The sequence below is a fragment of the Homo sapiens genome, chromosome 15 (genome assembly GCF_000001405.40).
Source record: "Homo sapiens chromosome 15, GRCh38.p14 Primary Assembly".
In the NCBI taxonomy this organism is placed as follows: Eukaryota; Metazoa; Chordata; class Mammalia; order Primates; family Hominidae; genus Homo; species Homo sapiens.
This window is the reverse complement of record NC_000015.10, coordinates 99,353,012-99,367,972: the sequence shown is the minus strand read 5'-3', so window position 1 is coordinate 99,367,972 and position 14,961 is coordinate 99,353,012. Positions and strand designations below refer to the sequence as shown.

Genomic DNA, 14,961 nt, shown 5'->3' with positions numbered 1-14,961 from the left:
CCCTGGGTAGCTTCAGGATGTGTGCTGGTCACCAGAAAGACCAAGACACAATTAGAGGGTTGGGACTTTTAGCCCCATCCTTGACCTTTGGGGAGGGGAGGGGGGCTGAAAGTTGTGCCAATCACCAATCATCAATGGTTTAATTAATCATGTCTATGTAATGAAGCCTCCATAAAAGCCCAAAGGACTGGGTTTGGAGAGCTCTGGGATAGCTGGAAGATGGCATGCCCAGAGAAGGCATGAAAATTCCATATTTATTCCCACAAGCCTTGCTTTATACGTCTCTTCTATCTGGCTGTTCACCTGTATCTTTTATAATAAACCAGTGAACTCAAGTGCTATGGTTTGAATGTCCCCTCCAAAGTTTATGTTGACATTTAATTGCCAATATGACAATATTAGAAGGTAAGGCCTTTAAGAGGTGATTAGGTCATGAGAGCTCTGCCCTCATGAGTGCCATTATCACAGGAGTGGGTTAGTTATCGTGGGAGGGGGTTCCTGATGAAAAGGACAAGTTTGGTCTGATTTTCTTTGTCTCTTGTGCCTGCTGCCCTTCTGACATGTTATGATGCAGCAAGATGGCCCTCACCAGACGTGGCCACTCGATCTTGGACTTCCCAGGCTCCAAAAGCATGAGCCAAATAAACCTCTTTTCTTTATAAATTACCCAATCTCAATTACTCTGTCATAGCAGAATAAAACAGATAAAACAGTTACGTGTTTCCATGAGCTCTGTGAGCCACTCTAACAAATTAACTGAACATGAGAAGGAGGTATTGGGAACCCTGATTTTATAGCTGGTTGGTCAGAAGTACAGGTGACAATCTACAACTTGCAACTAGCATCTTAAGTGGAGGCAGTCTTGTGGGACTGAGCCCTTAACCTGTGGGATCTAATGCTATCTCCAGTAAGATAGTGTCTAGAAACTGATGGCCTTACAGGACACCCAGCTAGTGTCTACTGGAGAACTGACTGACTGGTTGCTGGTGGGGAGAACTTCCCACAAATTTTGGTGACAAGAAGTGAAACATTCAGTGTTATATTCAGTATTGAGTGACTATGTAAGAGCAGGAGAAAACATTTTTTTTTATCTCAGTGGGGCCAGAACGCAGACTGTTATGGGTTGAATTGTATAGCCCCCAAAATTCCTGTGCTTTAGTCCTAACCTCTAGTACCTCATAATGTGACTATTATGGACTGGACTGTTTCCTTCCTAAATTCATATGTTGAAGCCCAAACCCCCAGTGTGAGGGCATTTGGAGAGGAGGTCTTTGGGAGATAATTGGTTTAAATGAGGTCATGAGGTGGAATCCTCATGATAGGATTTGTGCCCTTATAAGAAGAGACATTCTCTGCCATGTAAGGAGACGATGAGAAGTTGGTTGCCTGCAAGCTAGGAAGAGAGCCCTCACCAGAACGCAACCATGCTGACCCCTTGATTTCAGACTTCTTTCCTCCAGAACTATGGGAAAATAATTTCTGCTGTTTAAGCCACCCTGTCATTTTGTTATGGCAGCCTGTGCTGACTAATATAGAGACCTTATTTGGGAACAATGTCCTTGCATATATAATAGTTAGGTAAGATGAGGTCATTAGGGTAGGCCCTAATCCAATATGAATGGTGTCCTTATAAAAAGAGAAAACTTGTGCACAGAGACAGACATTCATAAAGAGAAAATGATGTGAAGAGACGAAGGGAGAAGATGGTCATCTACAAGCCATGGAGGCCTGGAACAGATCCCTCCCTCACAGCCTCAGAAGGAACCAACCCTGCTGACACCTTGATCTTGGACTTCCAGCCTCCAAAACTGAGATACAATAAATTTCTGTTGTTTAAGTCACCCAGTTTGCAGCACTTTGTTGCAGCATCCCTGGCAAACTAACCCAATGCCCCTGAAAAACTCTGGTAGCCTGGTTTCCTACTGGGAAATATGGAACTTGTAAGACCCATACATGCTTGGGAAAAGAGACATGTTATTTTATTAAGAAATAATCTTCTATGTTGAAGTTCTCCATTTTAATAAATGAACAATAAGTTTTGAAAGTGAAAATTTGCTATGCCTACAGGATCAAAAGTCATGAATTTACTAGCTATTCTTCTTTGCTATAAATATTTGAAAGTTTGGGTATTTACTGTTTATGCAAAATACTGTCATTTCTTTTTACTTCACTCTGTATTAAATTTAGGTTGAAACTAACACTTCCACTGAATTTGGTATTTTAGAAGAATATTCAATATGTTCCTTTTTGAAATAATGCCAGATGTTCACATTAATTTAGATATTGGCTGATATAATGTATTTTATGACAAGCAATGCAAACAACTGAATATATTAGAAAACTTAGAAAGATCTTTTAGAGTTTATGATATTAAAAAATATTTTCAGCAACAAGCTACTGGAGATTCAAGTATTTGGTTTTCAACTACAAAAGGAAGTACTTTTAAGACTATGGTAGAAACTGAAGCCGGTGCTTTTAATACAATCTCCATGGCAACATGGGAAGGAGCACAGCCTGGTGGGCTGAATGAAAGCCACAAACTCTCAATTTCAGACCCTACCATTAACTTCCCACAGAAAGCCATGTTTGTATCTTGGCATTTCATCTCTGCTATAAACAGAGGCACTCTGGCTTTATGCAAGAAAAGGACATTGCCTTAGTCCTATGTACTTGATATACTCATTTTATGAAATTAATAATATTTATGTTCTGAAACAATAGATTAGTCACACTACATTTCTAAGTTGTAGCAGGGAAATTAAACAGTAAATGGAAAATGCAAGTACTGACTAAATTCCCCAAATTTCATATAAAGATAACATAAAAGTGATTTGAAGGATCTACTTTATTTTCGTAAATGAATTGCCAAGATTAAAAAAGTTTAATTTTAAAAACAGGTATTCAGAATTTGATTGGCTACTGAGCATCCTGACCCTATCATTTTGTTTACATTTTCATATTTTCAATAAGGAAATGTCTTCTATAGGAAACTGCATAATAACAATGCATAAGGGTTTGAACTGTAGTTTAATGAATTAGTTAAGATTTTCCTGTGATGATATCTTGCTAATATAAAGATCATTTGCTAAAAACACAGCAAAAATAAGAAATAAAAAATCTCTAAACTACAAAAATAGATAATAATAGTTAACATTTGCTTTTTATTACTTGCCAGACACCATCCTGGGCTCTTCACAGGGATGATCACATTTAATTCTCACAATGACCCTATTAAATAGATATTATTATTATTCCCATTCTATTGATGAAAAGACTAAGCTCAGGGATGGTCAGTAAGTTGCCTGAGGTGGCCTTGTGGAGTTGGAATCAGGGCCTGTGCACTTCACCACTGTAAGATTCTCATAAACGTATCTATTTTATTTGTTAATTTTATTCATGTAGTAATACAGTCAGAACCCAATTCAATTATTTTTATTCTAATTTAAATGCAATTCCACCAAATCTGGTTATCTGATCACCTTAGAAGTAGCAAATTAGAAAGATTTGGAGGAGGGCTCCTGTAAGCAGGAAACATTAAAAATACAGAAGATTGAAATAGGAAGTGAAATATAGCAAAACAGGATTATCCAGAGGAAGAAAAAGATAAACACGGTTTTGGGATGGCGTGAGTAGAGCTATGTAAATGGGAACTACCATTTGTTGAATACCTCTTACATGCCAGGTGTGTGCCTTTCTCATCTGCCAAGCCTCACATGGCCCTGCCACGCAGGCTGTTGTATCCCCATTTTGAGAAGTCCCACAGCCTGCCCACGTTCTCACAACAGAAGGGCCAGACTTGTCGGGTGCAAAGTCCATGCTCTGAACACTGCCCCATATTGCCTATCTTGCATGGACTAAGAAACGAAGGAGGGAAAGAAAATCTTGGAGAGGTTTCTATTAACATGACTACAAGCAAAATGCTTTTTGGCATGGAAAGAGGGGTAATGGCTTCAGTTATGTGGAAAATTTACTCATATGAAATACATTTGATGGTGATAAATGAGGTACTATAGTACTTTTTTTTACTTAAAAAATTCAAACTTAGAAAAAGTTTAAATTTAGTTTCCTAAATTTAGGAAGCCCATAAACTAAGGTTGTGCAAGTGGGGAATTTTTCATTTGAGAGCCTATCTTTAGCTGCTATCCTTTTTTTAAAGTAGAACTATTGGGGTTTTACTTAGTGAACATTCTTCGCAAATTCAAGGCAATGTGCCAAGAAATAAAGAGTGGCATGAGAATGCCATTTGGAAGGGTTAAAAATTCAAAACAGAAATGTGTGTGTGTGCGCATGCACACAAACACACACACATACAGAGAACTCAATCACACATTTTCAGTTAGCAACACCAACCAAGCAAAAGAGCTGGGCTCATCCCGTTATGTAACACATTTTTTTTTCTTGCATCCCTTATTGCCTAAAGGCTACTGTGAATAGGGAAATAGCAGGAAAACATTCTCACAAAGAATGAGCTCCTCTAAATAATATATACAATAAAACTGTCCAGCACATGACCAAAAAATTAATAAAGGCAAGTCCAGTTTTCTTGTGATGTTGAAAGTGAGCATCGTTTCATTTAGCTGTTTCTCAGGAAGCATGTTATGCCCCTTTAAAACTGCTGACTTAATGCTTTCATGCACAGCCTCTCCCCTCCCCACCTGCCACCCCTTGCCTGGGTGTAAACCCTGGTGCCCACTTAGGCATGATTACCACTGGTGCAGCCCTGCCATTGGCGTCTCTCTCAAGGGAAAGAGCTTGGGGTAGACGATGGTAAACATAGGCTCACTACACCGATGACAGTGCCCCAGAGGGCAGTGCAGCAGCTCTAGGAGACTTCTGGGTAATGAGATTGGAGACAGAAAGTTCAAATCTGGAACACAAAAGAAAATCACGCACACGAGTAAAAAAATCAGACTTCCTTAAACTACGCTTCTTAAAATATTTGTTACCAAATAAGTTCAGTTACTTAAAAGTACTTCATGTTGAAAATTCTGTTATCTGATTGATACACACTGAATAAAAATCTAACATTTGAAAATGAAATTTTTTTTTTATATTTTTGATACTAAAAGAAAACACAAATTCACTCATTTTAAGAGCCAGAAGCTGTCCTGAGGTAGAGGCAAGGAATAAGTGAGATAAAATATTTTTTAAGAACAAAGATCAAAAAGGAATAATTCACCCAAAGAGGACTTTGAAACTTTAATAAGAGTCAGAGAATTTTTGGAACTGATGACTAAAACTGAGTTTCATTAAGTTCTCCCTAATCTATCAGGCATTTAGTATCAATCCTCCACCAAGGCTAAATCATATTTATTGAAGAGAATGAAAAGGAGGAAATAAAAAAAGAATGAAAAATAATGAAACCAAGCGTTTGCTTGACTTACTCTCATAAGCTGTCATTAATAAAAGCAGGGAGCTTCCTTCCCAGCTTAGTCTGAGCTACACAAAACAGACATTTAAAGCAAAACATCCCAGTGGCCCAGGCAATCTTGAAGACACATTTACACTGGGTTTCTACTGATGATGAGCATCCAACAGAAAGAGGCATGGTCATGCTGAGGTGAAATCTAAAAATTATCAACTCATCTTTGGGAAGGAGATACAAATCATCTTTTTACCTTTTATATCTGTCCAGACTCATCAATAACACTTAGAAAAATGGAATTGACTGATTGGTGAACAACTATAATTTTCTGTTTAGCTTTTAAAACCAACTTAACTTTGCACTAGGCATTTCTGGAAGGTTAATGTGAGATGTTTTTGTATGGACTCTTTTTTAAGTAAAGACGAAACATTTCACAGTTTTAAAAACACCTGAAATGTATTTTTCATATTAATATTGCCTAGCGCTGTCTTAAAGCATTTCAGACATACACCCACAATACCTATCAAATCTGTGCACGGCCAAATCCTTTCCAAATTTTAGCTGGCACGCTGCGACAGTACTGCCAACGGCTCCCAGTACTTCTACCTCCTTTAGGTCTACATATTGCTGAGATGCGAGGAGGCGGCAAGGCAAAAACCTGCTCTATTGACGTATCCAACTTTGAGGACAAGATCTTTCCAAATTTCCTACTGCCAGCCTTTTACTTCAACCAAATACACATTCCCAAACACCAAGTTCCTTACTTGAAACTTGAACTTTTAAGCACCGTGCTTTGCAACTGACAACCACGTTTTTTAAGAATGCTTCTCTGTGCCTGTAGGGGGTGCTAAAGTGATCAGTGTTAATAAAATATCAAAACTATTTTTCTTATTAGAAAAATCCTGTTGCACAACAATGTGAATGGACTTAATGCCACTGAACTGTATACTTAAAGATGGATAAAATGGTTACTTTCGTGTTATGTGTATTTTACCACAATAATTTTTTTTTTAAAGATGAACGCCAAAACAGGTGCACCAAGCACAATGTTCACTAAATGAGAGAGAAAAATAAGAAAACCAGAAGTCCCACGTACCTTTCAGCAAGCTGTGGTAGGTATGATACAGCCCTCTCATAGCCAATTCCTGCAGAGGGAGGACGTGATCATGCTCCGTCCCTATGGCCTTCACCTCAGCTGGGAGGAAAACGGTTCGCTGCCCTGATGAAAAGGAAAGCAGCTTCACCTCGGAAACTTGAATGGGAGCACCACAGCTGCAGAAAGACACACATTCACAGTATTATTAGCAATAAGGAAAAGAATATGGGTGCCAATAAAATGTGTTAATCAAAATATACATTTGAAAATTTATGACACTGCTGAATTGCCAGAATTCTTTTCAAAGTGAACAGATGCTATCCCGGGTTCCTTCATAAAACCTGGCCCAGCAATCTAAACTCATCAGTTGGAACTCAGCTAAATCATTGCTGAGGCCCAGTCACTTCCAGCAAGGATGAACTTTAAAGGAACTTTCCTTCTTAGGCCGTACACAATTTGCTTTGTAAATTTTACTTTTCCCAATTTTATTACCCTCTCCAAGTACGTGTTTTTCTGAAACTCTCAAAATTAAAAGAAAAAAAAAGAGTACTTTGTTGAGTAACAGCATCTTGGTTTAATAGAATTTTTGTATAGAAAAACTTAAACCCACAAAGCAAATAGATTTTAAATGGCAGAAGATAACTTTATTGGATCCTTCCATAAACTTGTGGGGAAAATATTCTTGGCATACTCAATAAGCCAAGTCATGCCCTATTCCCTGCAGCCACTCATAACCAGAAGGCAGAGATGTCCTCGTTCCTAATGCTGCAGTGTTACCGAAACTCACAAATCCAATCTCATTCTATTTCTTGTGTGAAACCATTGGGTAACCTAAGAGCCTCAATACTTTTCTTGTCTAATGACAAACAGCTGGCCAACAAACCTTGGCTCTGAAGACAACATGAAATAATATCACTAACCTTGACCAGATACAAGCAATGAAGCTTAGGGGACAGGACTGGAAGCCAGAAGCCCTTGATTCATTTATTTTTTAAAAGTTTCTTCATTTGTTCTTTCTCTCCATCAGAAAACATTTCCAGAGCACTTACTATATGCCAGTCAGTTAAGATACTTAAATTAAGAAAAACAAGAATGAACCCTTCCTTTGGGAGAAAATCATTACAATTATTCTAATGTGGGGGCAAAGAAGGGTTGACTGACTCTGTCCAGGGAATTAGGGGAGATTTTAAAGATAAGACAATATCTGACTTAATGTTCAACTCACCTGGAATAAATGGAAATGTGTTATGAGCATTCCAAGCAGAGGGAACAGCATGTGCAGCAGTACAGAAGCCTGAAAGAATATGGCTACGTCTTGGTTTCAACAGTGCTGGAAACAGGGATGCAGGGTATGGATGGACAGGGGAAGGAGGCCAGGAATATTAGCTGAAGTTAGATGGTTTTAATTCACGGGGAAGACTGTTAGGTGTGGTTTTTTTTTCTTTGTTTTGTTTTGTTTTTTACCAAATATCTGACCACAGTATGGTAGACAGGAAAGGGACTGATAAGTGGCAAAGAGGTAAAGAGAACCCAAATACAGAAGGAAACAGAAATGGGGAAGTCTTTAGGGTCTTGAAAATGAGAGCCTGAGATAAACAGAAGAGGTATGGAATATCATTATGGGTAAGAAGCCAGTGGCTTTCTCTGTTAGTTCCTAAAGCAAATAATTCTGAAATGCGATTTTGTTCACATAATCTTTTATGCCAATCAAGATAGATTTAGAGAATTTCTTTTGTAATATTCCATACTATGGATGAACCACAGTTTATTAATTTATTCATTATGTTTATCCTGGTTTCAATGTTTTCTCTCCTACTACACATACAACATCACAATAAATCTTACATACATTCCAATGCACAGATGTTTTTATTATAGTAAAATTCCCAAACTGAGACCACTGGCCATGAAAAATGAACATTTTAAATGCCTGAGATCTTTCCAAAAAGATTGGTAAGAAAGCATCCATTTCCCCACACCATCATCAGAACTGGATGTTATCAGTCATTTTAGTTTTTGCTAGGCTGATTAATGGAAATGCCTCCTTGGTTACTAATGAGTTTGATCACCTTTTGTTAGCCTTGCTGGCCATTTACATTTCTTCTTCTGTAAACTGTCCACGTCCATCCCTTATCTCATTTTCTATTAAATTAAAATATATCAATTTGTAGGAACTTCCATATTGGCAATAACAATCCTTTGTCATATGCACTGAAATATTTATCGACAAAAATGTTTTTGTCTTTTAACTTTGCATATGGTTCTCTTTGTCAGCATTCTTTTCTGATGTGAAATCTATCCACTTATTTCCTTCATGGTATCTACATTTTTCTGAATTTCTTAAGAGGGTTACCCTGATTTGAAGACTGTGCATATATTATCCTAAAGTTTCTTCCAGTATGTTTATTGTATTTTTACATGTAGATTTTTTTTTTTTTAAGACAGAGCCTTGCTCTGTCACCTAGGCTGGAGTACAGTCTGTGATCTCAACTCATTGCAACCTCTGCCTCCCGGGTTCAAGTGATTCACCTCCTCAGCCTCCTGAGTAGCTAGGATTACAGGCACCCGCCACCACGTCCGGTTAGTTTGTATTTGTAGTAGAGACGGGGTTTCACCATGTTGGTCAGGCTGGTCTTGAACTTCTGACCTCAAGTGATTGGCCCGCCTCGGCTTCCCAAAGTGCTGGGATTACAGGTATGAACCACCGCACCTGGCCTTTACGTGTAGATGTTTTATCTATTTGTCTTACTTGGTTATATAATATAAAATAGGACATAGCTTTTTTTTTCCAAATGGAAAAATAATACGGGTAGCATTATTAAACAACACTATCATTTACCTCTGAATTGAACTGTTCTTTTTATCCTATTAAGTTCCCAAATACACTGGCATTGCTTTCTGGAGTCTTTAGTCTGTTTCAGTGATGTATCAGTTTAATTCTGTGTCAGTTCTATATTGTTTTGATTACAATACTTTATAGAAGATTCTATCATTTGACAAGTCTGCCCTAACTATTATTGTTCAATTTTTTTCTTGCAATTCTCAGTTATCATTCAATTTGAACTTTACAATTATTTTATCTCTATTTCCCTAAAGCCTTCCAGAGATTTGTATTAGAATTAACATCGATTTCTATGTTAAGACAGGTAATTTGATCATAAATTTCCTTATTTGCAAACATGGTATCTCTGTACTATCCACCTAGTGCTTTATATCCTATCCTTTAATAAAAATTTCACAATTTTCTTCACATAGATTCTGTTCCTTTCTTGTGATATTTATTACTGTATATTTAAATGTGTGGTACAAAGATAAATGACATTTTCCCCCTAACTTTGATTTCTAATTTACGAAGACATAAAGAAAAGCTGCTAATCTTTGTATGCTATCTTATATTTAGCCACCTTACTAAATTCTTTTAGGTGTCTGAAAGATTTTTTTTGGTAGCATATCTTGAGTTTTCTAGGTATTCAAGCATATCACCTATAAAGGTCTTTCTGGTTCTTTTTTTCCCAGTATTTATAATGTCTATTTCCTTTTTTTCCATCTTATTGCATTAGACAGATGGCAGTGGTGACAGTGGGCCCTCACTCCTCTCCTATTCCTGATTTTAATGGCCATAGTTTGAATACATCATCATTTAATATAAAAATTATTATTATATGTGGCTACAGAATTCATCAAAATCAGAAATCATACAAAATCATCAAAAGTTTCTCTTAACATACCAATATAATTGTGTTTTTCTTTAATATAATGTTGAATAAATTATCGATATTTTAAGGTAAACTTTAAAATATTTAAAACATTATTTAAAAATATAATCATATAGAAAAGTACACAAGTCACAATTGCTGTGATTTTCACAAGATGAACACACTAATCACCACCAAGGTCAAGAACAAGAACCTCAGAAGACCACCTTGGGTCCCACTGCTAAGCAAAACCCATACCCCAAAGGGAAGCACTATTCCAAATTCTAACACTATAGTCTGGTTTGGCCTTTTTGAACAGCATGAAGGTTGCTGTGCCTGGTTTCTTTTGTCAACATTATACTTCTGGAATTCATCCATGTTGCTTTGTGTACTGTAGTTTATTAATTTTCATTGCTGTGCAGTAATGATGGACATTTGGGCTGTTTGTAGTGTGGAGCTACTACAAATTGTGCCTCCATAAAAATTGTGTATTTGGTACATATGAGCATATACATTTGTGAGGAACATACTTAAGATCAGAGCTGGGCCTATTATAGTGAGGAGAGACAGACATTAATATATAATAGACTGAGAGGGGAGTGAGAGCTGTATGAATTTTGATAGTACCCAAATAATGATCTTTTCTCCTTCAGAAAGTATGCTGTGTCATCTACATGTGCATTTTTGTGGGAGCTACTACAGATTTATCCTTCTCCTTTTTAGCAAAAAAGTTTTTCTTCAGCTTAAAAGTAAAAGGAAAGGGAAGAAGTGGATATGGAGATGGAAAGAAACTATGTCACCTAGAAAGAATAAACCTTGGCTTGGACAAAGAGTCTGTCATCTTGGCAGAGCTACTTAAGGCTAAGTTTTGTTCTGAGAATGTATTTATATAATTCTGAGTTGACTTTTTTCTTTAGCACTTATAAAATGTAGTTGCATTGTTTTCTGGACTTCAAAGTTTCTGATGAGAAATTAACAATCTTTTTGAATTACTCCTTTGTATGTAATGTTATTTCTCTGGTTGCTTTCAAAATTTTCTTTTTATCTTTTGTACCCATCAGCTTTGCCTACGCATGGTTTTCTTTGAATTTATACTGCTTAGGATTTGCTATGCTTCTTGAAAATGTAAATTTGTTTCTCATCAAATTTGGGAAATTTTTAAACATTATTTCTTCAAACATGTTTGTTACTGACGTTACCCATTCTCTCCCTATTTTCCTTCAAGGATGCCAATTATACATGCATAAGATTCTTTTATATTGGCTAGCAGGTCCCTGATGCTGTGTTCATTTTTGTTTTCAATGTCTTTTCTATGTGTCCTTCAGATTGGATCATTTCTACTGATCTATCTCCAGTTCAGTGACATTTCCTCTGTTCCAACCATTCTGCCATGAAGTCCATCAAGTTAATTTTTTACTTCAGACACTGTTTTCAATTCTAGAATTTCCTTTTTTTTAGTCTCTATTTTTCTGGCCTTTTCATTCATTACTTCATTGAGAATAATTGTAACAGTTGCTTTGAAATCTCTGTCACTTCAACAATCTGGGTCATCTCAAATTGGAGTCTCTGCTGGTCATCTTTCTTCTTGAGAATGGGTCACATTTTCCTGATTCTTTACATGTCTTGTAATTTTGGAACGTTTCCTAGATATTGTGAAAGTTATATTGTAGAGACCCTGGGTTCTCTTATATTCCGCTAACACTTAAACGTAATTAATATTTTTGTTTTAACAACAACTAACTTCATGGGCGTCAAACTGCAAACTCAGTCTCTTAAATGACAGTTTCAATCACACTTGAGTACTTTCATCTGCAGCCAGGCCACTTTGGTCCTGCTCCACTGAAGTGTGTTTCAGGTATCCGATACTGGGGGCAGGCAGCCCCTACATAAAAATGGATACTTTTAGTATACTGGTTTAACTCAGAATACATTTCTCATACAAACAACTCTATTACTCTCAGTGGTTATATTAATAAACCATTAGAATAGTATTTAACCAATTTGGACACAAATCCAGCTATAATTGCTTATTTACACAATAAAAAGCAAAGTAGTGGCTTGGTTTTTTTTTTTTTTTCTTACATAATTAAACAATTGGAAAAAACATCCTGTAGAGGATTACTTTTACCATTAAGTTCTCCTCAGTAAGTATATGTGCCAATTACCATTCTCTAAAATTCTAACATGGGATGAACCTCTCTTTCTGGCTACAATGTAGAAGATTGAGGACATTTACTCCTGTAATAACAAGAAAAACCCAGAAAAAATAAAGATCATTCTTTTCCATGAGGCTAGCAAATAGTATAGATGCCATGAAGCTGTGACAGCCAGTCTCCAAGTGGGCCCCCAATGGTCCTCGCTCCTAGTGGTCACTCTCCATGTAGTCACCTCCTACTGTGAATAGGGTTGACCTGTGTAATCAACAGGATATAACAGAAACAACAGTGTGTGGCTTTGAAGCTAGGTTATAAAACACAGTTCCATGCTATACATTTCCATCACTCTACCTCTCTTAGGGTATTTATTATTTGTATTACAGTTATTTTTGCATATCAAGATAAACATTTAAACTATCTTGGTTTTTCCCACAATTTCTAGCACTGTGCTGATTTGCTAATGTTCACAAATTATTTGACAAATAAACATAGAATAAGAAGAAGCTAACTTTGTTTGCATTTCCATGAATACAAAAGAATTTTATGAGACTTCTGAGATTTCTTAAAACTGCTACATTTGTTATTTGCTGTTTTTATACCTATTTATAAGTTTTATACCCCATTGTCTCTCTATTCTCCCTCTGAGATGTGAATCTGAGATAAATACGTATATATCTCAGACTTTTCTTATATTGTCCCACAAGTACCTAAAGCTGTGTTCATTTTGCTCAGTTGTTGCTCTAATTCTTAGACCCTCAATCTGAAAAGGGTACTGTAATTGCTTCAGAGCTTGTACAGCACAGCAGAAACTGTTCTTATATCCCAAGCCTACATCTAGGTCAGATGCAACATATGATAGCAGTGAAGAACGAAGGGAGTTGATCTTTCAGGTCTCAGATTAAATATTACCTCCTTAAAGAGAACTAGTACCAAGTTTGTTAAATTATTTAGGGTTTGCTTGACTCCCTGGCTAGATCAGAAGGTCCATGCGGGCAGGTACTGCATCGCTTAGCTCATCACTGTACAGCCATTATCTCATACAGTGACCAAACAGAGTAGTTGCTCAATAAATGTTCACTGAAGGAACAACTGGACCAAAATTCGTGTTCTGAATCAAGAAGGGCACTTTCTAGGCTTTCAACACACGTATGTCCTTTTACTAGATTTCCCCCAGGCCCTTGTGCTACTACCCCTTCCCCCTCCTTTCCTTTAGGCTGAGGCACTAAGCAACACTACTTTGAACTGGAACTGGGAAGTCCCTTTTCACATATCCAACAGATAAAAGAGGCAGAAGAAAGAAGACTCTTAATGCTTGTTGTCAAAGCTTCAGTAGTTATCATCTATTAAAATTCTGAGCACATTTTGCCATAGAAGTATTATTGTAAGTATAATTTTGGGGGTGCAAAATAGGTCAAATGACTCTTTAATGAGTTTGCTTAGGAATACAGTGGCCAGAGCTGTTTCTATGAAGAAAGCATTTCGAGTTTTGATTTAAACCAACAGGCTAAAAATGCCTTTAGATTATAGGCCATTTGTAAGTAGGACTGCTTATTACCTCAATACTACTATTAGAAAACTGGTTGTTTGATACTATCCTGTTAATAATTTTATTTCTCTATTACTATAACAAAAGTTTAATAATAAAAAAGTAGACTATTACCTAATAATTTGTGTATTTTCCCCTAGTGTTTTGTTTTTTTAAAAAGATTTGGAGTTCTCATGAAATTCACTACCACTGCTACCAGACACCAAGTCAAAGATTTAAAAATATCTCTCTACTTAGCACAAACAGAACTTTCTAGTAGTCAATAACATCTATATCTAAACGACAAAGTATAAGGCACTTTTTCTTAAAAGCTACTCCTTAATTGTGGCAGAGATGCAGATCGCATTTCAGTGTGGTCTCTGAAGGTTTTGGTGTGGGAAAAAGTGCCTTCAGCTTTGGAGCTTGCTGGCATCGTTCTATGTACCATGGTGATTGCAGGCACTTTATTCGCCACCTGGAAGAATTAGGCTATATTAATGATCCTTTAAGAACTCATTAGGATTAATGACTACATAGTATCACAGCTGTGACATAATCAGCTGTAGAAAAATCACTGAGCTAAAAACACCTATTCTATTATCTTTGCTTCACAGAAGGTTCCAGAATACATCTCTCAGCTTGGAGTTCATCAGCCTGTATAGGCACTGAACTCATCTTGGGCTTTCCCAAGACAGCTGCATAAGTTTTCCTAAAAGAAGGCCACTACTCCTAGGACTGCCCCTGGAGTTGTGCTATACCAACGGGGGGAATGGCTGTCTTCTATGTATACACTTATTGTCATCCCTTTTCTTGCCAGAACTACTCATAGCATGGGCCAAGTCATGCAGGATGATGGGGACTAGAAGGGGAGAGTCAAACATGCTGATTAGGTTGCCCCCGGGGTGTTCACTTGGCTGCTGAAGTGGGGAAGGGAAGGTCAGTCACAAGTGGGTCCTGGTGGTTGAGTGGCCCCATCTTAATCCTTGGCCACTCAGGGAAACACTTTAGGGTGGTTCTGTGCCAGCGTTGTAGAAGGAGAAGATGAAGCCATCTTTCTAAAAGCCTGACTAAAAAGAAAAGATTATTGCTGCTCTGAAAATAAAAGCCCATTAACTGAAATATCT

General features: G+C 37.1%; 1 protein-coding gene across 25 annotated transcripts in view; it reads right to left on the bottom strand.

Annotated features, from left to right (window-relative positions):
• LRRC28 (leucine rich repeat containing 28) overlaps window positions 1-14,961 on the bottom strand; it is a 139,249-nt gene that overhangs the window by 22,757 nt on the left and 101,531 nt on the right. For 16 of the 25 annotated variants that reach the window (NR_135755.2, NR_135759.2, NR_135753.2 and 13 more), the window contains 2 exons: window positions 6,462-6,637; window positions 4,708-4,867 (listed from right to left, as the gene is read on the bottom strand). Coding sequence is in view for 18 of the 25 variants with exons in the window: in NM_001321675.2 (NP_001308604.1) it covers window positions 4,708-4,867; window positions 6,462-6,637 (336 nt within the window). In the remaining 7 variants the exon portion in view is untranslated. Of the gene's footprint in view, window positions 1-4,707; window positions 4,868-6,461; window positions 6,638-7,686; window positions 7,756-8,307; window positions 14,313-14,961 lie in introns of those variants that run through there. The other 9 variants (NR_135757.2, NR_135758.2, NM_001284400.3 and 6 more) reach the window with 6 other exon arrangements.